Raw genomic sequence first — 27,723 nt, forward strand, 5'->3', positions numbered from 1 at the left:
TGTCTTCTGCCATCTATGCCTAACCTAACAAGATTGAAGGGAAGAAAATGGATCATAGCCTGCAGGAGTCCAGGAAGCTGAGCTGACCAGCATTCCCCCCCAAACCTAAGTGATATGTCTGACAAAAGAGTTACTTTGATAGAGTAAATAATAGAGGCAGGTCAGTCTCTGGCTGGATACTAAGTTAATGGTTCCCAAATTTCAGAGCTGGAAAACACCCTTGAAATCAATTAGTAAGATCCTGTTAACTCCACTTGTTCTTTAAAGCAGGAAACCGGCTCAGAGAGTGAAGTGGATTTCCAACTGTTATGCAGTTTGCTACGGGACAAGATTGTGATTAATCTCTGGACTCCCAGCCCAGTGTTTTTTCCATTGCTGTCTCAATGAGGCAGCTAAGAGCAAAGACACACACCTGTACTCTGGAAACCTTTCTTTCTTTCCTTTTTTGAGATATTTTTGTCAGGCTGGAGTGCAGTGGCGTGATCAAGGTTCATTGCAGCCTCAGCCTCCTGGGCTCAAGCGATCCTCCCACCTCAGCCCCCTCAGTAGCTGGGACTACAGGTGTGTGCCACCACATCTGGCTAATTTTTAAATTTTTGGTAGAGATGGGATCTCATCATGTTGCCCAGACTGATTTCAAACTCCTGGACTCAAATTATTCTCCTGCTTCAGCCTCCCAAAGTGGTGGGATTATGGGTATGAGCCACCATGTCCAGCCAGGAAACATCTGTCTCTGTAGTTATACTCCTTTTTTCCCCAATAATGATTGAAAGTTTTGACCAAGGAGAAAATACATTCTTAGCAATCCCCTAAAATAGCAGAGGCTCAGCAAACTGTTCATGGATAAAGAGTAGGTCCAGAGTATTATCTGATCTTAGAAAGAACTGATGTTGCTAAGCGGATCACAAGCAAAATCTCAGAAACGGAGGAGGTAGGTCCTCCAAAAACAGGTGGCGATCCAGGTTCTGGTACGAGTTCTGCCGCCGGCTATCTGTGGGAACTTGAGAAAGACAATTCTGTGAGCTTCACTTCCCTTATCAGTAAAAAAGGGAAACTGGACTAGATGAGTGGTTCCCACAGTGGCCCCAAGCTCAAGGATTCTGATTCAGTAAGCCTGAGAATAGGGGCCCTGCAACTTTCATTACTGTTATTTTTTAAATCCCACAGGTGAATACATGAATGTCTGCGCTGGATTGATAGAGGGACGGGAGGATGGATAGATACATTTGATGAAAATTGCTAATTGCAGGATCTAGGTAGTAGGTGTACAAGAGTGACTCAATTATTATATATGTTGGCAAAGTCCCCCAGGTGATTCTGATGTACAGGCAAGTCCGGCAGCCTCTGGACCAGAAGTCAGCCTCAGACCGAGTTCAGGGGGCTTCACAGTCCCTCAGAGCAGCCCCAGGTGCCACCTTGGGAAAAGGGAGCTGGTGTGAACCTCAGCCTTGTTCTAGAGTTTAGTCTGGGCAGCTCTACCTTGTTTGTTTATACACAGGAGAATTTGTGTAAGATTCTACCAGAAAGCGTACCAACAATGGACCCACTGCTTAATGTATACAAACCACTTTACAAGATGGTTTTTAAGGCCTTACATAGATCCAACTGTTTATGAATTTACAAAATTACTTACGCCTTGGTAGGCAAGATGGAACGAAGGCTTTAAAAATGAATATTATATATAAATGAGTGTGTACACACACACACATACACACACACCCTCTTGGTTATTATAAGAGTCAAGCAAGAGAGGAGAGTTCAAGCTCAGACCTCATGGCCATTGCCATGGTCACTGCAGCACTAGCTGCCACTGAGCATGCCTGGGCCCTGTTTGCACCTCCTCTGCCTCACCTACTACCCCCTCTTTCTTTGGTCCATTTCTATCTGGTCCTCAACTATAAAAGGTACATTCCTGGTTCAAGGCTGTATTAGTCTGTTCTCATGCTGCTAAAAAGACATACCCAAGACTGGGTAATTTATAAAGAAAAAGAGGTTTAATCGACTCACAGTTCCACATGGCTGGGGAGGCCTCACAATCATGGCAGAGGGTGAAGGAGGTACAAAGGCACGTCTTACTTGATGGCAGGCAAGAGAGCATGTGAAGGAAACTGCCCTTTATGAAACTATCAGACCACACGAGACTTACTCTCTATCATGAGAACAGCATGGGAAAAATACTCCCCCACGACTCAGTTACCTCCCACCTGGTCCCCTCCCATGATACGTGGGAGTATGTTATAGGAACTACAATTCAAGATGAGATTTGGGTGGGGACACAGCCAAATCATATCAAAGGCCTTGGCTGTTTCATCTGCCAGAACATTTTGCCTCACCTCCTTCAGACCTTACTCTAAGACTCTATCCCCCATGACTCTTTCCCTTGCTGTCGCATTTGAAACTGCAACCCACCCCTGACTACTAAGTCCCTTCCCTTGCCCTATGTTTCTCTTTAGAAATTATTACCAATAGCATACTCAACATTTTACTTATGTGCCTTGCTCATTATCTGTCTTTCCATACTGGTTTGCAAGCTCCATGAAGGCAGGGTTTTTTTGATCATAGCTACGTTCCTAGTGACTTTGACAGTGTCTGGCATGAGGCATATTTGGTGAAAGAATGAAGGGCTGAACCATACTTGTGCTTTAAGCACATCATCTGTAATCTGCATGGCAATCTAGAAGAGCAGGAACCAGCCCCTTCCACAAATGGGAAAGCAAGGTATTTTCTGGAGGGGTGAGGGCCAGCATTTCCAGACCCTAGCACCTGTGATCATCCCATTTCAACACTCTACCTCCCACAACCCTGGCTCACTTCCAAGGGCTGACATGTTTCTCCCTCCCTTCCTGTACTAACAGCTAAACCATATTTGGGCCTGGAGAGTTTATTACCTTGCTTAAACAAGACAGGATAGAGTTGAAGGTGAAATGCCCATATTGTTCAGTTAACTCCTTGAAGCAAACAAATCATTTGATAACTGTACACCACACACCAGTAAGGACTGCTCAGTGAACATCAACATCCCTTCAGGAAACAAGACCTTCATAAACCATTGTCTGTTGATGGTGGCTCAATGAGGGTTATATTTCACAAAAACGAGTATGATCCCATCCAACATTTATATCACAAAATGACCCCAAGTGCCAAACATTGAAGCACTATTCACAACCACAATGACACTGTGAAATAATAAAGCACAGGGCTTAGCCTGTAGAACTCTGCTGCAATGGATTCTGACCTGTGAGGCAATTCTGTTGATGCAGTGTACCAGCATTGCTATTTCTGCGGCCAAAGAACATGATTACAAATGTGTGCCTTTAACCCAAGGCAGCCTTCACTCAGTAAAGCCCAGAGCTTCATGTGTCTCCTGAAACACCTGCCTTGCCTGTTACACTGCATTGTAAATGGATGCCTGACTGCCTGCCTACCTGGGCTGACTACAAGTAGAAGAGGACAGAGACCTCATCTGCCTACTTCACGGTAGCTTCCCCAGCACAGTGCCCAGCAGATGCCTGGCTCATGGAAGGCATAAAAATATTCATTGAATCCTGCTCCTACCATGACATTTTACTCTGCTTATACTTTATCTTCTAACTATGTAATATATGCACGATGAACTGTAAAAGTTTATCATATGCAAACCGAGGATGGATTGAGGTGTATATATAAGTAATCCATTCCTAACAGTTATTTCAAATCTTATATTAAGGATGACAGCAATGGGAGGAAATGAACTCAAAAAACATACCAAAGAACTGCAGTTTGAGAGCAGATAAGAAACGAAACTATTAAACTGAACTGGTATATCATTTAAAAATCTTTACAACATAACTATGACAATTTAAAAATAACCACCAAAGAACAGAAGTTGTTAAAACATCAGTATAGTCACACCCTGCCTGATTAATGTAATCTTTCTCCTTTAGCAATGAAATAATCTTTGCTTTCTATGATGAACTTTCCAAAGACAAATATTTGGTATGCTGTTTACTTGTAGGCTTTTTCATTATTCAAATGTGTTCTTCTCCAAGATGAAAGTGGATCTTGGAGAAGAAAAATAAAAATTAGCTTGGCATGGTGGCACGCACCTGTAATCCTAGCTACTCAGAAACCTCTTTCTTCACTATGTTTGACAGCTAAAGCTGAACTTACTGCATCTCTCCTAAAACTAACAGTGACAAAATTCAGGTAACAAAAGAGGTAATTGGTCTTTGGACTTTAAAAATGATAGTGATATCCAAGTTGTAACTTCATCAGAACAAAAGGGAAAATGTATCAAAAACTGAATGAAGACACTATTACTAATTGAACCTAATATGAATTCCCTTTTCAATGCCACTGCTGGCCAAAACTGCTAACTGTCCACCAAAATCAATTCCCTTGGGCCTGGGTACACGACTTAGACTACATTTCCCAGCAGCCTTCTTTGCTTCTCAGTAAAGTCACATAACTGGGTTCTAGCCAATGGAATGCACCCAGAAATGTTGTGTGTCTCTACCAGGCCTTGCCCCTAACACCCTTTCTTGAGTGCTCCTCCACACTCTTGTCCCCTTCTGTCTCACTGGATGGAGATGCCTCAAGAGCTCTTGGAAGCCAAGAGTTAAAAATGACAGAGCCTCCTTCGGCCTAGGTCCTCGAGTGCCTGAAAGGGACAAAGGCACTGCTTCATTAAACTCTTAAAGGAAAGAGACAAAAATGAAAATAGTCATGTTACTTAAGATCCTCAAAGTCACAGAAACATAATGCTTTGCTGGGTGTGATGGTTCATGCCTATAATCCTAACACTTTGGGAGGCGAGGCAAGAGGATGGCTTGAGCACAGGTCCAGTATAGTGAGACCCCATCTCTACAAAAAATAAAAATTAGCTTGGCATGGTGGCACGCACCTGTAATCCTAGCTACTCAGGAGGCTGACATGGGAAGATGGCTTGAGCCAAGGAGTTTGAGGCTGCAGTGAGCTATGACCATGCTACTGCACTCCAGCCTTGTGACAGAGTAAGACTCTGTCTCGAAAGGAAAGGAAAAAGGAAAGAAAAGAAAAGAAAGGAAGAAAGGGAAGGAAAGGAAGGAAGGAAGAAAGAAAAAGAAAGAAAGACATAATATTTCTTTTTGTTTGTTGTTTTTTGCTTTTTTTTTGAGATGAGGTCTTGCTCTGTCACCCAGGCTGGAGTGCAGTGGCGTGATCTCTGCTCACTGCAACTTCCACCTCCCGAGTTCAAGCAATTCTCCTGCCTCAGCCTTCCAAGTAGCTGGGATTACAGGCCCACGCCACCATGCCTGGCTAATTTTTGTAATATATATATTTTTTTAGTAGAGACGGGGTTTCACCATGTTGGCCCAGCTGGTCTCGAACTCCTGACCTTGTGATCTGCCTGCCTCGGCCTCCCAAAGTGCTGGGATTACAGGCGTGAGCCACTGCACAGGGCCTCAAACATAATATTTCATGGACACCTTGAAAAACTTAGCACAACATCCTTGCTAGGTAGAATGCAGTTGATGCACAACTATTTCCATTAAGAAGAACCCACTACATTCTTCAGCGGCTTGTTGCATCTATAAACAGTTCTCCTGATCAGTATGATAACAATAATAGCAGCTAACTATTACTGAGCAGTTGCCATACACCTGGCTCTGTGCTGAAGGCCTTCCAGGCATCTGCTCATCTAATCCTCACCTGAGGAGTGAGTACTATCATTATCTCCATTTACAGTTGACAACACTCAGTACAGAAAACATGAGATTGGCTCAAGGTCACACACAATAGTGGCAGAGCCAGGATTCAGCTCAGGCCATCTGAGTCCAGAGTCCCTGCTCTTAACCACCATCCTGCCTGCCTGTGGCTATCACTTCTATCCCAGGCTCATGGACAGCTAGCCTTACCACCTTACCCCATAACTGACAAATATTTGATCTTTTACATCAACAAAAGTTATCTTTTCATGTGGCTGAGAAACTTTAGCTCTTTTGAATTTTCCTCATCTTTTCAAACATAATTCCAATCTCTTCAGCACTCCAGTCTCTCTTTTGAAGGTTCCTGATCATCTATACACATGTTGAATTATGTCACCTAGAAAGGGACTTCATGGGTAAAATGACATTAATAGTACTTCCCCAAATGGGTTGATGTTAGGATTAATGAGGTTATTTATGTAAAATTCATGTAAAGCCCTAGACACTAGCAACAGTACTTACTATGGACAAAGTAAGCCAGCCAGTCAGAAACATTAGCTATTATTTGCCTTATAGCTTAAATACTGCAGCCTATGATCAGATTAGGTTCTGGTGTCTATATCACACTACTGACCAGATTAAATTTACTGTCTACTTAAATACATTTAAAAAAATGTGAACCATTGATAAGCTGTCTCCCCTATCCTGCTAGTTTTCTTTCTTTTTTTTGGTGACAGGGTCTCACTCTGTCACCCAGGCTAGAATGCATTGGTGCAATCATGGCACACTGCAGCCCAACCTCCCAAGCTCAAGTGGTCCTCCTGCCTCAGCCTCCTGAGTAGCTGGGACCACAGGCATGTGCCACCATGCCCAACTAATTGAAACAAAAATTTGTTAATAGAGACAAGGTCTCACTTTGTTGCCCAGGTTGGTCTTTAAGTCCTGGGCTCAAATGATCTTCCTGCCTTGGCCTCCTAAAGTGCTGGGATTACAGACATGAGCCACCGTAACTGACTGCCAGGCTGGTTTTTCTCTTTTCAACAGGTGTGATACTTTACCTTTACTGTGGTTAAGCTTCACCTGGTATTTACCCACTTTCCCAGGCACTAAAGGACTTTTTGAATCTTGCTAGTTTGTCTTACTCGGTTTCATATCACCTACACATTAGATGATCAGGCCCTGGAAATCTATCCTGGTGTGGGCTCGAGTGGGCAAACACAGGGCCTTGGGTTCTCTACTACAAAGTTTCCTCCTGGCACTGATCCACTGTTCTACCCTAGCTCAGCAGCCAGGCATAGAAAAGGTGACTATCTCGATCACAATAATCTCACGCCAGCATTTCTAAGTGCAAATATTCTACTTCTATGAACTTCATGAGACTTCCCAGCTTAGCCTTTCAGTGTGTAAGAGACACGGGACGTGTTTCAAGGCACAGCTTGGTTGGAATGGGGAACTACAACTACACTTTCCCAGGGGCCCAACAATGACAGACGAAAAGTCCGCACGGGGGCATGTCTGACCCATTCCAGACAAGGGAATGGAGGCCGGGATAGGATAGGATGCTTCACAGCTACTCAGGCCTCAGAACTACCCAGCAGGAAGAGGAGGCTGACATGTGGAGCTGGATCATGTTAGAAATTCTCACCCAACTCTACTCTTCAGAGGAACAGGGCCTAAGTTCTAGGATGTCAGGCTGGCAGAAAGGAATCTGCAGTCAGCCGGCCCAGGTACAGGCAGGTCGCCCCCGCCCCACTGCAGGTAGCAGGCTGCAGAGTGGAAGGGGAGACACGGGTTCCAGGAGCTTGCCCTGCGTGTGGTGTCCGGCTGCTGCAGGACTGCTGAGACTGCCTTATAGTGTGCCTGCAGTCTAACGCTTTGGCCCTCAGGCCAGGAACAGCTAAAATGTTTCAATCCTTCCTAGCTCTTTCAGATGCCCAGGGGTAGACTTTAGAGTGGTGATTCTTAAACTTGAGCATGCATTGGAGTCACCTGTAGGACTTGCTAAACACAGACTGCTGGGTCCACCCACTGAGTTTCAGCGAGCAGTGATCTGCTCTCCTAACAAGTTCCCAGGTGATGCTGCTGCCAGTTTGGGGATCACACTTTGAAGATCACTGATTCAGAGCAAGAAGTACCTGAGAGAGGAAGGTCAGAGAGAGAAGGGCCTCTCGGGTGCCCTCTGTGTGGATGGCAAGTGGCCTGATGGGAAAAGTACAGACTGTTTTGAGCCATCACTTGGTTTCTGTGTCTCTGCCTGTATTTGTGATCATTTGGTAGCATTATTTTCTTTCTGCTAATCCCTTCTAGAGGTTATGGGTATAGCTAAGGGATTACATGAAATACACACTAAAAAGATGGGGAGGGGGCTCTGCAGAAAAAAGGGAGAAACAGCAATTCAACTTTCACAGTGGAGAAGAGTTGTTGATTTTGTTTTTTTTCTGTTATTTTTCAAATACATGCCAAAGAAAGTGAGAGGAATAGTGTATTTAATATAGTTAATGGCTTAAGATCAAATATATTTCTGAACTCAGAGGAAGGCTACTAACAGAGCAGGAGCTCACTGGCACGTGTGGATAGATGAACCACTTATTAGCAAAAAGGAGTTTCAGAAAGGATTTGTACTGGCCGTTGGTGAAATCCATGAACATAAGAAGAAATGAATAGTTCTTTGCATTCCCTTGGCTTGGAGGCAGTTACATAATATTTCATTATTTTACCACCAGCAAAGGGAAGAAACCTGGAGAGAAGATGCCACAGATGTGTAATTGATTTTGAATTTAGGAACGTAAGTCCTGTTTAATACCTAACTCCTGTCCTCAGGAACAGTCAGACTTGTCAAAGGAACTCACCTTTGAACTAATAGAGAAAGCTTTAACTGTAAAGGGGGGTAATTGTGGAAAACTAAAAAGGAGTGAAAGATAAATGAAAGGAAACCATCACTGGCTTCGTTCAGTGACAATTCATGGAATGCTATTCACTCCGGTCCTAAAGAGCTAATGAATGACACATTCGACTTTCCCTACCCTTTCCTAGGAGACTCTCAAGCATGAGAAGATGACCCTCTATTCCCAGGAGTCTGTGGGCTCAATTCAAAAACTTAGTGAGACACTTGCTTCCAAAGAAGTTATAAGCACAACAAAATGGAAGTCTGAATTTGTGGTAGTAATCATTTATAGAATCAGAAAATGCTTATATTATTTTCAATAGATTATGATCAAAATGAAAACACAACATTTATTTTTAATTTTAATTTTTTGAGACAGGGTCTTACTCTGACACCCAGGCTGGAGTGCAGTGGTGTGATCACGGCTCACTGCAGCCTTGACATCTCTGGGCTCAGGTGATCTGCCCACCTCAGCCTCCTGAGTAGCTGGGATTATAGGTGTGAGCCACTACACCCAGCTAATGTATATATATATTTTTGTAAAGATGGGGTTTTGCCATGTTGCCCAGGCTGGTCTGCAACTCTTAGGCTCAAGTAATCCTCCCACCTCGGCCTCCCAAAGTGCTGGGATTGCAGGCATGAGCCACTGCACTCGGCCAAAAACACAACATTTAAAATAGTCTTAGAACTTTGGGACGCTTGGAAGGAGATGGGAGCTCTCATGTTGAGAAAACACTCCTTTTCTATATTATAAATGAATGAATTGGACCATCCAAAGCTTATCTTGTCAACAACTGCAGTGCGTTTAAAATAGCCTCTAAGGCAGCCTTCCACTCCCTCCATAATCCATTTTAGGTGAAAACTAAGATGCCATTGATTATAAGGTGTGCCACTATTTCACATAAAAGCAGGAAGAAAAAAATGTTAATTAGAACTTCTTTATTTAGAGATGCTAAAATGAGAAAAACAAAACCTCTGTGAGTTTCAGCATGGATGGGAAATCCCAGGGTACAGTGCAGAGATTGTGGACAAGATCGAACTCCCAGTCTTGGGCGGGTGGTGTCCCTGCTCCTCCACAGCTGTCGAAGCCTGGGGAAACCAGTTCCCCTCACTGGGCCTCAGTTTATTTATTGGTAAATTGTATTTAACTCGTATTAACAGTGCCTACTTCTCACTATATTATTGAGAAAATTAAATGTGATCCTTTGTTATAGTATTTAATACGTGCCTTGCACTTATTAGCTATTTTAATGCCGCTATTACTATAAGTCTGGCAAGAGTAGAATTATGAATTTAATAAATCTTAAATGCTTTTTAAAACTCTGAGTGACTTCACCCAGTCTCAGTTGCTAAACCTTTAGACATTGTTTAAAATACGTGGTAATGGCTTTGCTTCCTCAGTGCCTTAGTTCTCTAGAGATGAAATGAAATGATCTCTAAAATGGAGTTCCTAAACTGAAGAATCAGTCAGAGCCCTAAGGAGCTGATGACTCAAACACAATGGGTGATAGTTTGCATATTGCTTTGCATGACATTTGCATGCTACTGGTTCATTTTTTGCTTGAAGTGAAAATCCGCCCACCATCTGCTTCTTTCCTGGTCCCTTATGATCCCCTAGGTGTTGAGTTGGCTGACTCTGCCGGGGAAAAATAAAGCAACTGGCATGCATCAAGCAGTTACTGCATGTGCCTCTGTGGCTGGTTAGCTCGGCAGAGTAGAAGGGCAAGTTCTATCAGGGCACGGACCAGACCACATGGATCAGGTACTCGCGTCACTGTGGACCATCCTACATGAATGGTCCTATGTCCTCTGAATGGGATGGTCGTTGACTCAAAAACCCATAAAGCCACAAACAGCATCAGGCAACATTTCCTGAATACAACCCCTAAGTGTGCAGATGTCTGATGGTAAATCAGATGATACACAGCTTAGTTCCTGACCATTGGCAGCTTCCAAATCAAACCAGGGCAAAGCTTCTCTTTTCCTGAGCGTGAATAATTATGGGGGCAGTGAACATATAACAAATATTTTTTACTCTCGAAACTGTCAAGATGTAAAAAAAAAGCACATGACAGCTAATATCTAGCAATAAAGAAAACTTAGCCCTTCATTAATCAGGGCTCTGTTGCCAGAACCTTCTGCGGCTCTAAGCATTTGTTTTAAACTGAGCCCTGGGATTCCTGACTGCTCGTCAATCAGTGATAATGGACCTACATTTCCACAGATATGATCAAAGCTCACTTAGCTGTGGTTTCTTGGGAATAACTGAATATTTCTGTAAGCTCAAATACCTATATTATTAGTATGGCAAACTAGACAACAATCCTAGAAGATGATATCAGTATCTATTGTTTGTAAAAGAGCTGCAAATAGCACTCTAGTAAGTGTCGCATAAACGATCCTTTGGATAGCACATAAAAATACCAACTCACATTGTTCTCAGGTTTCCTGAAGTATGACCCATATGTGAACAGAAAACCCAAATAATCAACTACAAAACCCCAAATTTATATCTGGATACTGGGACTAGAATACTGTAAGCATAATTAAGCTTATGAGGTTTTAGAGGTAGTATTTTATCATTAAGCTTATTAGGTTTTAGAGATACTGCTTTTTTGATTTTTTTTTAAATGTTTTACAGCTTTATTAAGGATAAAAGTATCTGTTAGGCTTTTCAAATGATTAGATATAACATGTAAAACAAAACACTTTTTTTTTTTGGAGACGGAGCCTTGCTGTGTTGCCCAGGCTGGAGTGCAGTGGCACAATCTTGGCTCACTGCAACCTCTGCCTCCCATGTTCAAGTGATTCTCCTGCCTCAGCCTCCCAGGTAGCCGGGACTACCGGCGTGTGCCGCCACACCCGCTCATTTTTTTTGTATTTTTAGTGGAGATGGGGTTTCACCATATTGTCCAGGATGGTCTCGATCTCCTGACCTCATGATCCGCCCGCCTTGGCCTCCCAAAGTGCTGGGATTATAGGCGTGAACCACCACGCCCGGCCAAAACATCATACTTTTATGAACACTTAGAAATACAAGAACTTCAGTTACATTAACATTTCCAAAACAAATTCTAAGAAATATAAAATAACCAAAAGATACTTTATAGTACAACTTTACTTTCTAAAAGTGTCACTCCTCATGGGATAATTTTTAGAGATTATCTAGTCCAATACCACTGCCTTTATAGATGAAATTGAAGTCTGGTCTGGAAATTGGCACCTAAGTACAACAGAAGGCAAGAGCCCAGAAGATGAACTCTTGGGACTGGCAGATTCCAGGACAGAGGACTGGAGCTTCTGGGATGCAGGCTTAGAAGCCCTGGCTAGGTAGGTGGCTCTTTTAAGGAGCCTGGAGCTTTGAAGGAAACTACGTTTAAAAATGAGGAAAAAAAAAAAAAAAAGAGAGAAAAAGGCACTGGGGAGGAGTTGAGTCTCGAAGAACAGTCTAACATAAAGGTATTCCAGCCGGGAAGTTGAGTTAACTTCTGACTCAGGTCATCTGGTGAAAGGCACTTCCCTGGGAGGTAGGGTGGGCCTGTTTCCAGGAGCAAGGCACTCAGTCACTTCCTTAGTCCCTGAGTGGGCCAGGAAGCAAACTCATTTTAAAGGACAGGAAACCAGACATAAAGGCTTTAAAAGGTGAACGTGAGTGCAACAGCTGAATCATCCACTCGGTCTTACTCAATTGGAGCAGACAAAGAGCAATGAATTGCCTCCTTTGCTGCTCTCCTCTGTCTACCGACCAGCTCAAGATCAGGAACTGAACAAGAGGCCAGGGGCTGGCCACTCAGTGTGTTTTAAAAGCCCCTGAAGACCATAGATTCCTGTCTTTGAAGCTGCTCAAACCCTGAGGCGGGAGAGGAAAGGAGGGGTAGCAGATGTGCTGGTTCTTTTCCATCTGTCCCCATCCTGGAGGTACGGCCCTGGCCTGTGTCTGTGTCCTGGCAGGCTGACCTCCCTGGGCCACTCATCAGCTGGCTTCCTGCTGGGGTCAGCCGATGGGAAGGTCAGGCAAGAGATGGGAGGGCGGGCAGAGAGAAGTCAGCATATCTTCTCCCATTCCTTCTAACAGCTCCTGCCCAGTGGTCCCTCATTAGTGGCTCCCACTCTCCTTGGCTCTGCTACAGCGTTTCCTTCCCTGGTTCCTCAGGGTGGTCAACTCCTTCCTGGGGACCTCAACACTCCTGGCCGGTTCTCTCTACCTCCTTCATTCACAGTTGACCCATCTGAGTTGGAGTCTGTCTCCTGTCAGAACCCTGACCTGAGACATGGGAATGGCAGCCATGGGGTAAACATAGATAGCATCTTACACATACTTCCATTTACTGGGCAGAATTTTACAAGGAAACGTAAATATATACATTTTTACAACATGTATTACACACTTCTCCACCTCTTTCATGTTAGAACATGTAATTACATTTCATGTAATACACGTTAGAATATTTGTTGTAAAATGTATATATATACGTTTATGTCACCACATATATACTTTTGAAAGCAACAGACCTTCAACAAACACCAATCTTCAAGCCCCCAAAACCACTGCCAGGTCGGTTTGCTCCTTGTTCTCTGGGATCTTCCCTTGGAAAGGACGCTTTACTAGGAGGAACGAAGGCTGCCTCAGCCTAAGTCTGCTTTGTAAATGGAAGTAAAATTAAGGTGAATTTCTTGATTGCCTCAAGGGAATTGGTGGTCTGGGCTGCAGAGGCAACAGCAACTTAAGCTGGAGACAGGGAAGGGGAAAGGGAAGGGGTGGGATCAGACCTCAAAAAGGGTGGAGCAAGCAGGAGAGCCCACAAGAGCCATGTGACCTAGAGGAAGGGGACAGAAGAATGAGAGTCCTCACAGCCCTTCGGGGGGAAGAGTCCTGTACTTTTACTACTTTCGGAATAAAGAGTCAGTTCTTTGGAAAAGGCCCCACTCTCAGGCCAGCATATTTCGTTATGAAAGCGGTGGAGAAGTGTGTAATACATGTTAGAATATTTGTTGCAAAATCTGTAATTTAAAAATTCCCCACACCAAAAGTGAAGAAGCATCAGTTATTTAAAAGAAAATCACAACTGCCAGGTGGTGGTGCAACCTGTAATCCCAGCTACTCAGGCTGCTGAGGTGGGAGGATTGTTTGAGCCCAGGAATTTGGGTCTAGCTTGGGCAACATAGTGAGACCCTGTGTCTAATTTTTAAAAAATAAATGAAATAAAAACATAAATGTATCTTATTCCCTGGCAATGCTGGATAAAGGAAGGGTTAACAATGATCTCTTGGCTCAAATTTCCTTCAGTTGAACCCGGACGTGAGGCAACTGCAGCTTCTAAGGGAATGTGCATAAAAGGAGAAGCTTCTGGGAGAGAACAGTGCAAAGTCACTAAGTAAAAGTGGAGTCAACTGGGGAGTCATCCCAGGCCCCCTTCCAAACACCCAGGGCACTCGAATCCCTTTCCTTCCTCCTCATCACTCTCACATATTATGCTCCTGCTAAGTTTTCACTGAGAAACAGATTCTGAAGTCAAAAAACGTTTGAATACTACTGGTTTAGATTTATCACAGACGTGTACATGAAATGCTATATGCATAAGTAAGAGACTGCCTTTACCTTGTAATATCAACCTGATTGTCCTTAAATGCATTTTCATTCTGATGTAGAAGGCCTGTCTTTAATTATTTCTAATCATTTAATTTTTGAGACAAAATAAAAACATCAGAAGGCATTAGAAATTAGCAAGAATCAGACAGCTCATCTGCTTACCTGCTATCCCCAGCATTTGCAACATACAGCTTCCCCAAAAGGCAAATCACAATGAGGGCCGTGCAGCCACCAGATATATTATATGAACTCCTCTCTCGTTCTATCTGTAGGTCCTGGAGAATAAAACAGAGTTAGTGTTGGATTGTGCAGGATGTGTAGCAAAAGCTTTCTCACTTTCATTCTCTTGACAGTCCCCAGACTCTGAATGTGCTTCAAGAAGGGACTAGAAAAATCTTTAGTGCTTGCTTTCCTACCACCTGATGAGCATTTCTGGAGAGGACACTGGCATAAAACTGCCACATATTAGACCATCTGTGAACCAGAGACAGGAAACAATAGACAGCAAACAGAAACAATCAGACAAAAATGCAAATAAAATGTAAGTTGTATTCAGTAAATATCACAGCTTATGGAAAATTTAGTCTTTGTGGATTGCATGAGCTACCATGTGAAACATACACTAGAGAGGCTGAGGATGACAAGTACTTGGACCTGATCAATGTTTTGTTTGTTTTTTGAAGACAGGATCTGGCTCTGTCACCCAGGCTAGAGTGCAGTGGCCCAATCTTGGCTCACTGCAACCTGTGCTTCCCAGGCTCAAGCAATCCTCCCACCTCAGCCTTCCGAGTACCTGGGACCACAGGTGCGCACCACCATGCCCGGCTAATTTTTGTATTTTTTGTAGAGATGGGGTCTTGCCACATTGTCCAGGCTGGTCTCGAACTCCTGTGCTGAAGCAATCTGCCTGCCTCGGCCTCCCAAAGTGCTGGGATTACAGGCATGAGCCACTGCGCCCAGCCTTGTCTTTTTAGAGAAGGTTTGCTCTGTCACCCAGGCTGGAGTGCAGTGGTATGATCATAGCTCACTGCAGCCTTGACCTCCTGGGCTCAAGCCTCCTGCCTTAGCCTCCTGAGTAGCTGGGACTACAGGTCTGTGCAGCCACCACACCCAGCTAACTCCTCCATTTTTTGTGGGGACAGGGTCTCACTATGTTGCCCAGGCTGGTCTCAAACTCTTGGCCTCAAACAATCCTGTCTCAGCCTCCCAAAGCACTGGGCCACCATACCCAGCCCAGATATGATCAATGTTTTAAACTCCAAAGTCTTGGATAAATAGTCTCTTTTACAGATAAATTACAGAAAGATGTCTTCTATTCAACACAGGCAGGAGTCAAGCCATGACTTATAGGGCAAAGACTTACAATGACTTATAAATGACTTAAAATGACTTAAATAAATTATAAATGACTTATAATGACTTAAATGACTTCAAATGACTTATAGGGCTTCTGAACTCTGACCTGACTTTTCCTCTTCCCACAGCCACCAATTTACAATGGTAAAACGTTTATAATAATTAGAAACATTCATTGAGAACTTTCTCTACGTCACGTAGTGTGCTGAGCACTTTATACTCAAACTCTCATATCGTCCTCAAGACCATCACTATGAACCTCATTGTTTAGTTGCAGAGAAGTGGGGTAGCCTGCCCATATTTACCTGGCTAGAGTCTGGATTCCAACCTGCTTCTCTTCCAAAGTTTGTGTTGTTACCTGCCACCTAATGAGGCCTCCCCAAGGAATTGATATTAAAAATAGACCAACACTGGCATCATCAAGACAGATACCTGTGAAATTCTGTGTTAGCGATAGAAGCAAAGGTTCTGTTACCTCAGAAAAATCTGTGTTAGTAAGATACATTGAATGCCTGGCTAAAATAATGCCAAATCTTCCAGTGGTAATCTACTACTTTTGGTGCAGAGGGAAGGAAAATGAGGGCTGGCTAAAAATTACAGGAAGAGGAAGAAACGGTGACGTTGATGCTGTTGTTGGCAGATCTAGGGTCAGGCCACTATTGTAATCCTGAGAATCCCACAGAGTTAGAGCTCAGCTGCTTCAACCAGACTCCTCATGGAAAAGGGGGAGAGAAGTCAAGACCCCAGCATTTACCAGCAACTGCTTTGCTCTAGGGGCCAGAGATGGTAACATAAAAAGGGTAAATCACCAATGGGAAACTGGAAACAGAAGAGCTTGAGCTTAGGGATATCATATTGGTTAAAGAGCAAATGGAAGCCAGGCACGGTGGCTAACGCCTGTAATTCCAATACTTTGGGAGGCAGAGACAGGAGGTCACTTGAGGCTAGGAGTTCAAGACCAGCCTGGGCAACATAGTGATACCCCCATCTCTATAAAAAATAATTAGCTGGGTGTGGTGGCACATGCCTGTAGTCTTAGCTACTTGGGAGGCTGAGGACAGAGGATCTCTTGAGCCCAGGAGTTCGAGGCTGCAGTAAGCCATGATCATGCCACTGTGCTTTAGCCGGGGTGACAGAGCGAGACCCTGTCTCAAAAACAAAAACAAAATAACAACAAAAACCAGTAAATAGAGAAAAAACACAAAGCCAGGACTTGGGAGAGACCAACACACTGGGAGAGAGCTGGGTAAGAGATTGCGGGAGGGGAACTGGAGAGCCACGGGGAGGAGGTAGGAATATGTGTTGGGGGATGTAGTGGTTTATAAACAAGTGAGGAAACACTTCAATATGGGAGTGAACAGCAGCAGCAAAAGCTGCAGAAGCATCAAGCATGGGGCAAACTTCAAAGGACTATGTGGGATTTTTAACATTTACTTCAACTGTGTATAAATTAGCTTTCTTAAAGGACTGTCGTAAGGCTAAATTAGCTGGCATGTGTGAGGGGCTTAGTAGGATATCTGGACCCTTCCCGCAGCCCAGAAGCTTCAACATTGAGAGCGGTGGCCTTTCTTGCTCATCTTAGACCCTCAACACCTAGGTTAGGCCAGGTAAATGGTAGTTTAATAAATATCTGTTCAATGGACAAATGAAGAAATAAATTTTAAATTTTTTTTATCTGCCTCTCCCCTTACCTCTGCCTTAATATGAAAAATGGATTCCACAATTCACAAATGAAAAGCTTACAATGCCAACGCTCGCTGAGATAATAATTAAGCAGAAACCCATGCTTCAATTAAAATGCTTGACTGCCAAGAATGGTTATCAGAACCTACACAAGACTGGTAGAAGGCTGGAGGATGAGGAGGAGGGGCACGGGTGTCAGGTGGGAAGAATTATCTCAAGCAAATAGAAGAGAGGAGAAGGAAAACATCAAGATGCCTGTTTAACCTCCAAGAAAACCCATAAAAACAGAACCCCAAACCCTACTAAGGGGTTTGTGGATGGAATTGCTACTTTTTTTGCATTTAAAGAACGCATATAAAGTTGATACTATGATAGATACATATTTTACTGAATTATATAAGTTGATAAAGAGTCTGCATCCAATACATCAAAAGGAACTGCTCAGCTACAGAGACTATTTTTTCACTGTCAGAATCAATATTTGCTTGAATACCTAAAAGGCTGAAAGACAATATTTATTAAAAATTATTTGAAAACGCCGGGCGTGGTGGCTCATGCCTGTAATCCCAGCCCTTTGGGAGGCTCAGGCAGGTGGATCACCTGAGGTCAGGATTTTGAGACCAGCCTGATCAACATGATGAAACCCTGTCTCTACTAAAAATACAAAAAAAGTTAGCTGGGTATGGTGGTGTGCACCTATAGTCCAAGCTACTTGGGAGGCTGAGATAGGAGAATTGCTTGAACCCGGGAGCCGGAGGTTGCAGTGAGCCAAGATCGCACCACACCACTGCACTCTAGCCTGGGCAACAGAGCGAGACTTCATCTCAAAAAATTATCTGAACACCTACTGCTTGTATACTGTCTATAGACTAGAATGTGAATGATGTTTGTTTGATAGACTTGATCAAACCACTAGTATGATCCAAAAGGTAGAAACGTTATGGTGCAAAAAGTCCACGTAACAGGGCCGTCCACGGCAACAAATTCCTTTGGGACTCAGTTAAGCAAGTTCGGGCTACACCACAGGTAGGTACATTATTTATCATGGTTTCTATCACAAGAAATTCTGCTTAGAAAATTATGTAATGCTTAGGGGAAAAAATCAAGGTAAAGAGCTCAGCACTAAAACTTTTCTGCTTTAACTTTGGGGGAAACATTCCAGTTAGCTTACCCATTTAACCCCTTGGTATTATATTAATAGTGTGACTCAATATTTTTTTTCTAACTGATTTCATTATTTCTTTCACCTTTTTCTACGTTCAGCTACATTCCCTCTGTAGCTCCCCCTGAATAAGGAATGCTAAATTTGGCAGCACTTTCTCATAAAGAGTGAACTTAAGTACTTTTTAATCCAAGAAACTTTGCTAACATGTGCATGCGTTTGCCACTTCCCTCCCCCACATTTGTGTGGGAACATAAGTGTGCATACATGCACATGTGCACACACACACTTTAATTACAAGTGTCCTCTCTGGGATCATGGTGGGAAGGATTTGAAAGACGTGTTTCCATAGACTTCATCCCCCTGAAGGATTCACTGTCGTTAAAACACACTCTTCTATTTCTTCTAAAACCGTGTGCAACTAGAACATATTCTAAAAATAATTGCTTCCCTCCCCCTCCTCCCTAGAAGCCAAAATAGCACATTTATTTTTTCCCTACATACACCACCTACTCCTCTTTAAAAGATGTTTCACAAAATCTTAGTACTGAAAGGAACATTAAAGGACCATCTGGGTGGTTCTTTTACTATCAGAGCAAACATGATATATTAAGTCAATAAAGATACATTTACCATTGCATTATCTACCTTTTTTCTTCAAATCCTCACCTTTCAGATTAGATTAAGTTTTTAATATTCTACATAATAAATAAAAACATGGAAGTATTTTCTTAAAAACCTCAAGTTTTTGGTATTTTTACAAAAATCAATGAAACCACGGGAAAAACTGCTTACTGCTTTGTGCTAAGCAAGGACTGATTTAGAATATCTCCCTATTTTTGCTGTCAATGAACCCCGAGCCCTGTGTCTAGAATAAACTGATTAGCAAAACACATGCATATACTATCATTCAAGTATGGTCTAAAAGGATCGATTAAATGACTCTTAAGATTCAATTAACAAGATAATTGATTTATCTGCTTAATCAATAGTCCTGAAGACCTTGCAGGGCAACTTTCTAGGTAGCAGGACTGAGTTATCTTCTGTTGTGTCTGCTTAAACACAACATTTAAGCGAGGTTAATCTTTAAATCAAACAATGGATCCAGTTTTTAAGATGTGGGATTTTATTTTGCTCCTTGTTGCAAGGAGAAACGGGAGCCGAGAAAGCAAACAGAGGGCCGGGCGCGGTGGCTCACGCCTGTAATCTCAGCACTTTGGGAGGCCGAGGCAGGCAGATCACCTGAGGTCGGGCAGTGGAGACCAGCTTGACCAACACGTAGAAACCCCGTCTCTACTAAAAATACAAAATTAGCCGGGTGTGATGGCGCATGCTTGTAACCCCAGCTACTCGGGAGGTTGAGGCAGGAGAATTGCTTGAACCCGGGAGGTGGAGGTTGCGGTGAGCCCAGATCGCGCCAAGCCAAGATCGCGTCATTGCACTCCAGCCTGGGCAACAAGAGAGAAACTCCGTTTCAAAAAAAAAAAAAAAAAAAAAAGGCAAACAGAGATGTGTGTGCAATGAGACTAATTCAGCAGGAAAGAAGTGCAAGAGAAAAATATTGCCCGGGATGGTAATAATTTGGTTTGAAAGTCTCATAGATGATGCAACTCCAAGGTCATTCTTTGTTTCCTACCAATTTCAGGTTGCAAAAGGAAAGCAATATCTGGTAGCAGAAAGGAGCAAGTGTTGGGTAGTTTCAATAGGACCTGGCAGCTCCCCCTAGCTGAGTTAAAACACGGCTCTGAGCACATTGCTAATAGTGTCAGTCACAAATAATCAGATTCTGCATGGTTTTAGTATCCAAATCTGATCCCAGTTTATTCTGAGAACAAGGCCATCTGCCAGCCAGGCAATGGGGAAGAAAAGCCAGCACTCTACTGCCTACTATTGCCACCTGCCGGCTGCTGGTGGAATCACATGCTCATTCCTTCCTAGAGAAACTTCCCGTTCTAACAAAAACAAAGAGAACAAAACCAACTTAAATTTAAGACAGCTATGTGGGTTCCCAATTTACCATTAACATGCTAATTTTGGAAAACACTAATTTATTTATTATAATTAATCTATAAACACTAATTTATAGATTTCTAAACTATAAACTTTGCCCCCTTTTTGTCACAATGTCACCATGTATTTATAAGGTTTTTATCAACAAAGTCTAGCTGCTTGGTATTTCCAATCATTTACCCAGTGATGGAATTACATATAGTAGTTCCATAAGTTAAAATATTGCCATTTTCTTCCCTTCCTAAGAACCGACTCTGGTGGGGAATCTAGACCCACTCTTAAAAGGAAATAGAACTCTGAGATCCTCCCGGCTATGTCCAGAGCTCAAATCCCATAGTTAACAGGTTAAAACGGTAATCACTGCTAACTTGGTTCTGATCCCTAGGAGGGCAAAGGCTTCCTGTAACTAACCCTGCAGTGGAATCGACTTCCTCCATGAGTCTGAAATGTTGATTATTCAACCATGTTTTTGGGAGGGTGGAGAAGTAGGGAGGAGGTTTGAAATCAGGACTTAGAAGACACTTGTCTTATTTATACCTATTGTCCTGGGCCAAGCGACAATATAAATATAATAGGTGACAAAACAGAGCTAAGCCAGGCCTTGCTGGGAAGCAGAATTGAAGTCAGTCGGAAAATTCCTGAGATTTTGGTCCTTTAGGAAGCCATGGCTCACTTTTCATAGTGGACACAGGAGGGATTCGCTACATAGCCTTCACACTATGAAGGAAGATCTGAGATACAATCAGGGGGTTGTAGGGGCACACCTACCTCTGACAGTGTACACAGTAAGTATTAAAAACCAGTGGTCATAGGTCACCTTCACCACAAGCCCCAAGCTGTGCCAGGCAACCCGAGGACCAAAGATGAAAAGCACTGCTCTCAAAGAAGCTTATAGTATTTGATGAAACTGTTACCATCTCCCCTCATTGGAAGCATTTTTTTCTCTTCTGTTCGTCTGTATTTTGTGACTAGTACCTACTTTTTCCCCAGAAATAGGTACTATTTATTTTGACTTGAGTGTTTCTGAACATTTTTAACAGTGTATCCCTTTTGGAAAGGTGTCAACATTTCACTACCTCCTTTTGTTATTTAGAATATCAAAATAAATAAGATATTGCATATTTCTATATTCATATAATGTGGGACTACAAATGCCCCCAGATAAAATATATATATATATATATTTTTGAGACAGAGAGTCTTGCTCTGTCACTCAGGTTGGAGTGCAGTGGTGCGATCTCTGCTCACTGTAAGCTCCGCCTCCCGGGTTCACACCATTCTCCTGCCTCAGGCTCCCGAGTAGCTGGGACTACCGCCCACCACCACGCCCAGCTAATTTTTTTGTATTTTTAGTAGAGACGGGGTTTCACCGTGGTCTCAATCTCCTGACCTCGTGATCCACCTGCCTGGGCCTCCCAAAGTGCTGGGATTACAGGCGTGAGCCACCACGCCCAGCCTTGTTTTGTTTTTGAGACAGAGTCTCGCTCCGTTGCCCAGGCTAGGGTGCAGTGGTGTGATCTCGGCTCACTGCGACCTCTGCCTCCGGAATTCAAATGATTCTCATGCCTCAGCCTCCCAAGTAGCTGGGATTGCAGGCATGTACCACCACGCCTGGCTAAATTTTTAATAATTTTAGTAGAGACAGGGTTTCGCCATGTTGGTTAGGCTGGTCTCGAACTCCTGGCCTCAAGTGATCTGCCCACCTGGGCCTCCCAAAGTGCTGGGATTATAGGTGTGGACCAAAGTGCCTGACCATAAGATCTTATGTTTTACTTCCTCAGTGGTGTCTAAAAGAATACTGATTTTAAGATGTAAGCTCAATAAATACTAGTGACTGAGAAGAGCAGTTCTTAGTGAAAACAACACAAACTGTTTTTCCTCTGTTCTCATCCCACAACAACCAATACAGAAGACTTCTGTGACCAAATGTGTGAGAGTTTTCCCCCACATAACCAGCAAGCAATCAGTTCTGCAGAAGACACCAGCTGGGCGTCCTCCAGTTCAATTCCACACAATTATGTACTTGGAGATAGCATCAGATTTCACAGGTTGAGGGCTCAGTCCCCCAACTGACTCCCACTTCTGATGCCAGTCGCAAGCCCCAGGTTGGTTTACCTGTGCTTCTGACTGACCAGCTATAAATCTGGGTTCCCAAGACCCCCCTCTCCTAAGGTTCGATTAATTTGCTAGAGTGGCTCACAGAAATCAGGAAAAATTTACTTACATTTGCTAGTTCATTATAAAGGATATTACAAAGGATATGGATGAAGAGATGCATACGGTGTGGAGCTTCCATGCCCTCACTTGGCACGTGACCCTCCAGGGACCTCCACATGTTCAGCTACCCAGAAGCTCACTGAGCCCTATTCTCTTGGGCCTTTATGGAGACCTCATTACATAGGCACGAGTGTTTAAATCATCAGCTGTTGGTGATCAACTCACCCTTCAGCCCTTCTCCCCTCTCATGAGGTTGAGGATGCGTGCACCCGTGTGCGCGCACACACACACACAAATTATTGGGGCAAATCTAAATTAGGCTATTCTTTCATTTTATTCACATTAATACACCTGACATCTACATTATCAACGGCAGTTTACTGTGTGATTCTACTTAGTTGCACAGCCCTCTAATCCTGCCTTGGTCTTTTTGATGAACAGACCCCATCCAGAAGCTACCCAGGGGCTGCCAGCCACCAGTCATCTCATTAGGATACAAAAAGATACTTATCACTTTGAAGATTTCAAGGATTTTAGGAGTTGTATGTCAGGACATGGAGTTGAAGACAGAATATCATAATATCACAGCATTCCATTGAGGGACAAGACAAACAGATGGAGACAGACAAGCAGGTAGACAGAAACAAAGAGAGTCCAAAGAATTCTGATTCCACATTGTTGAGCTCTTATAAATAAAGCAAAAACTCCCAGTGAAGGAGAAGCTCTGCTTTTAAGGATATTGTGACACTCAGAATCTCCAGAGGGACAGCTGCATAAATGTCATCAGTGAGGCAAATTAGAGGCTTAGGTGCAAGGCTTGGGGAACTTTACTTTTAGGGATTAAAAGTGGAAGAGAAGGCAAGAGAGCCACAAAGCTGAAATGCCTATATGACAACTCTTACTTAATATTGAATTTCCTATTATAGAAAATCAATGGCACAAAACCCGCAATACCTAAAGGACATCTAGAAACAGGAAAATTAGAGAGTGGGTGGCTACTGCGGTGAAAAAAAAAGTTTAGGAATGATCTGGAAAATTCAAAGCTGTCCTGCTATAGACAGCTGTGTGAACTGTCCTCGGGTTGCCTGGCACACCGTGGCGCTTGTGGGCATTTCAAAAAACCAAAGGTTTACACGGTAAGACAATGACTCTCAAAAACCTAATATTGAGAGGGGGAGGAAAGAAAAAGGAGTTGGCAATGGCCTTCCAGCTATTATTTTGAAGCTGGTATAATTTCTGTGCTGTGGATTCTGAAGCTCACCTTAAGCAATTTGATAAGGTTAAGACAGGCATTGTTTCTATGAAACAGGAGTGTAGTTTCTCTGAAATCTCTGATGACGCAAAGAAAAACAAGAGCATCTGTGATTAAACAGAAGACTTATCATTCCAAAGAAGGTCACATCTGAGAGTGAAATGGGAGAGTATTAACAATTAAGACAGCAGGCACCCACTGACCCAGTCCCCAGCAAAGCACAAGGTATGGCCACCCTTCCAGGTGCCATGAGAACCAAAGAATGGTGAGCTTCTCACTTAATAAGGCCAACCAGAAAGGTGCTGTAAACCAAAAGGTATCTGAGACAGGTCTCAATCCATTCAGTTTATTTTGCCAAGGGTAAGGACATGCCTGGAAGAAAAAAAACACAGATCACAGAGACAGTCTGTAGTCTGTACCTTTCTCCAAAGATGAATTTGAAGGCTTCAGTATTTAAAGGGGAAAAGTGGGCCGGAGGGGAAAGAGGGAGGGTATGGTCATCCACATATTCCAAGAGAAAAGGAGCAGGTAGGGGATAGTCTGGGGCTCTGGAAATCAATAAATCAACACTTTGCGTGAGGTAAGGTGAACACAGAGTAGCTACCTGTGGAGATATTCAACCATTCATCTGTAGTATCTGCTTAGGAACAAAAGGAAACAGTTTCTTCCACGACTCAGCTTTCAGCTTAATTTTTTTTCCTAGTGATTTCCAATTTCCATAGTGGATTGGGGGCCCAGTTTTTATTTTCCTTTCACAGTGCAAAGCCCCGGTAAGCTGTAGGCAGGTTGGGGACCTAGACAGACAATCTGGGGGGAAAAAGTGTGAAGAGGAAGCTAGGGCATGGGGGTAAACCTGAAAGGAACAAACAGGGAAGAGACATAGCTTAAAGCTAAAGGTTCATGATATGGCACATCTGGGCCTGGGTCTCCACAGGGGCACTCCAGCCTTCCTCCTCATTCACCTGCCATTGCTACATTTAAGATCTATCTTCCCACCACAGCAATGGTGGCTTACTGGCTTTGGCCTACCTGGGTTTTTTCTCAGGCTCGGTTTGTTACCCAGGTTTCCTGAGCCCCAGGGCATTCATTCTCCCAACCCTGCCCTGCACATGTCTGCTCTACTCCTGAGCCCCCACACCCCAGCATCACCTCCCCAGGGAACCTTTCCCTTCATCTCTTTACCAGACTCCTGCATCACCCTGTATTTCCCCTCTCAAGGCTCCTCCCATTTATATTTTACTTGTTTAACACCCTTCTTTGCCTAATCGGCTCAATATTCTTTTCCCAGTCAGGCCTGGCTTCTAGTTGGTTCTCAACAAATATTACTGATTGAATGAATTACACATGAAAATGAAGCAAACAATTGTTGTTTTTGCTGGTGACTAAGTTTCCAAGAAAAATTTGAGGTAATGAATTGGTTCATTAAAAGTAGAAATATTTTAAAAATGAGCCTCTTAAGTATTTTTCTGAATGAACCTTTCTTTGCCAGCACAGTTGTTAAGAGCAACCCTGAGCCATTAATGGGCAGGAACAGCCTGAGACCCCTGTGGAGTCCTGAGTCAATGTGACATTGGCCTCTAGTGGACAAAATTGAGAATGCAGCAGCTCCAGGTAAAAGATGTCCTGTGGCACTAGTCACAACTGAAGGAAATGAAAATCTCAACGTTTCCTTTATTTTTCACTTCTACCATGCAAACTGAATTACATTACATTACATTACAAGGAGAGCCCATTGTCAAATTTTTGCCTAAATAATTAAAAAAATAAATTCAATACTTGGCATTCTGAGTATTAGTGTCTAGAAACATTTATTGACATCAGAGCCTCTACAGAGGCAGAGAGTGAGATTTTACACCACGACTGAGTGGGAGTCAATTTTCCTACCTTAATTCCCTTTTTCCTAAATAATCTTTTCCAGCCTCCTGGTATTTTCATTGGGATTGCAGGGTTGCAGGCTATCAGACAGTCTTGAGATAGAAGTGCATTTTATTTTTACATTTTTATTCTTAATTTTATTTTTTAAGAGATGGGGTTTTGCTGTGTTGCACAAGCTGGAATACAGTGACAAAAAAGCACTGGAGATATAACCTGATCTGGGCTAGGTCACCCCTCCTCAGGCATCCCGGTGGTGCTCTGCTCCAAGGAGGTCACCACATTGACACTGAACCCACATGACAGCTCAGAACTCCTGGGCTCAAACAATCCTCCGGCCTCAGCCTCCTGAGTAGCTGGAATGACAGGCATGCACCACTACCACGCCCAGCAAGGTGCATTTTAAACCACCTGCTAGTCAAAGGGTAAATGTTATCTCTGTAACAAGGAGAGAAAAAGCTGAGACCAAAGAAGGGACACGTTTAAATAAAAAGAGGATGCAAATTTGAGGGGTGAATATATGAACTATTTTTGCCTTACAAACAAATCAGATGACGATATGTATAGTCATTATTTACTTTCCTTCTTAGCACACTACCTGATGCCGTGAGATCCTGGAACATGCACCATGTGCCTATCCGGTTCTGGCAAGACGCTTCTAGCTGTTTTGACTTCATTTAACAGCTTCTCATCACTTTGTAATCTCCAGGTTTTTTTTTTTTGTTTATTTGTTTTTTTGAGATGGAGTCACGCTGTTGTTGCCCAGGCTGGAGTGCAGTGGCATGATCTCAGCTCACTGCAACCTCTGCCTCCTGTATTCAAGCAATTCTCCTGCCTCAGCCTCCCAAGTAGCTGGGATTACAGGCATGTGCCACCACGCCCGACTAATTTTTTTGTATTTTTGGTAGAGACGGGGTTGCACCTTATTCACCAGGCTGGTCTCGAACTCCTGACCTTGCGATCCACCCACCTCGACCTCCCAAAGTGCTGGGATTACAGGCATGAACCACCGTGCCCGGCCTGTAATCTCCAGGTTTTAAGGCCATGACTGCCCACTTGCCTAACTCAAGCCCTTATAAATATCCTTAAATATCTCTTATTCTTTATCTGTATGCAGGCTGCCGAGCAAGAAATAAAATCTTTAAAACCAAAATAATTGGCTTAGGATAAAGTAAGCTCACAGAGGGAAAGAGCTGGCATAGAACAAAGCAGAGGCGGCTTCTATGTGCACTCCTGCCAGGCAGAGGGGCAGCAAGGGACAGCGAGAGCTGTGGCACTCTCCCGAGGACATGCTCAGGAGTGAGGCCAACAGCGAAGGATGATGAACTCCCGATCAGACCCATTCAGATGGAAACGAACAGACAAATCCACATGCCTGGGTAAGACTAAGACTTCTTGGATATTGGCCCCTGGCTCTGTTCTCCTCCAGCACTTTGTCTGCAGTGTGAACCACATTCCCAGTTGTGGTAAAACAGCCGTTCTTAGATCACATCTGTATAGGATGGGGACTTTTGAGCACTTTCCTAAACCCTGTTTCCCCCAACACCGGACTTTATACACATCTGTAAAACAGATGGTGATCATGCTCACATCTAAGTGCAATCGTACCAGCTGGCATCAATATGAATATAGGAAATAAAAGCAATAAGGCCTGTATTTAATAAGCCTCTGACCTCATGCACTGTCCCCCTCTTTCATCTTCTTTTACTTTTTTTTTTTTGAGACGCAGTCTCGGTCTGTTGCTCAGGCTGGAGCACAGTGGCGCAATCTTGGCTCACTGCAATCTCTGTCTCCCAGGATCAAACAATTCTCCCACCTCAGCCTCCCGAGTAGCTGGGATTACAGGCAACGGCCATCATGCCCGGCTAATTTTTGTATTTTTGTAGAGACGGGGTTTCACTATGTTGACCAGGCTGGTCTTGAACTCCTGACCTCCTGCCTCGGCCTCCCAAAGTGCTGGGATTTCAAGCGTGAGCCACCGCACTCAGCCTTCTTTTACATTTTTGCCAGCACTTGATGCCAGGAACTCTG

General features: G+C 43.4%; 1 protein-coding gene across 3 annotated transcripts in view, besides 1 other annotated feature; it reads right to left on the reverse strand.

The window, feature by feature from the left end:
- PPM1H (protein phosphatase, Mg2+/Mn2+ dependent 1H) overlaps positions 1 to 27,723 on the reverse strand; it is a 291,157-nt gene that overhangs the window by 129,930 nt on the left and 133,504 nt on the right. For all 3 annotated transcript variants that reach the window (NM_020700.2, XM_011538578.3, XM_017019676.3), the window contains exon 4: positions 14,303 to 14,415. In NM_020700.2, the coding sequence (NP_065751.1) occupies positions 14,303 to 14,415 (113 nt within the window). The remainder of the gene's footprint in view (positions 1 to 14,302; positions 14,416 to 27,723) is intronic.
- Positions 12,265 to 12,374: a silencer, noted in NCBI's record as "silent region_4610". NCBI's record gives its function as "represses an Ori minimal core promoter by ATAC-STARR-seq in GM12878 lymphoblastoid cells {active_cell/tissue: GM12878}" and the evidence as "EXISTENCE:reporter gene assay evidence [ECO:0000049][PMID:35858748]".

The sequence above is a fragment of the Homo sapiens genome, chromosome 12, assembly GCF_000001405.40.
Source record: "Homo sapiens chromosome 12, GRCh38.p14 Primary Assembly".
NCBI classification, from domain to species: Eukaryota; Metazoa; Chordata; class Mammalia; order Primates; family Hominidae; genus Homo; species Homo sapiens.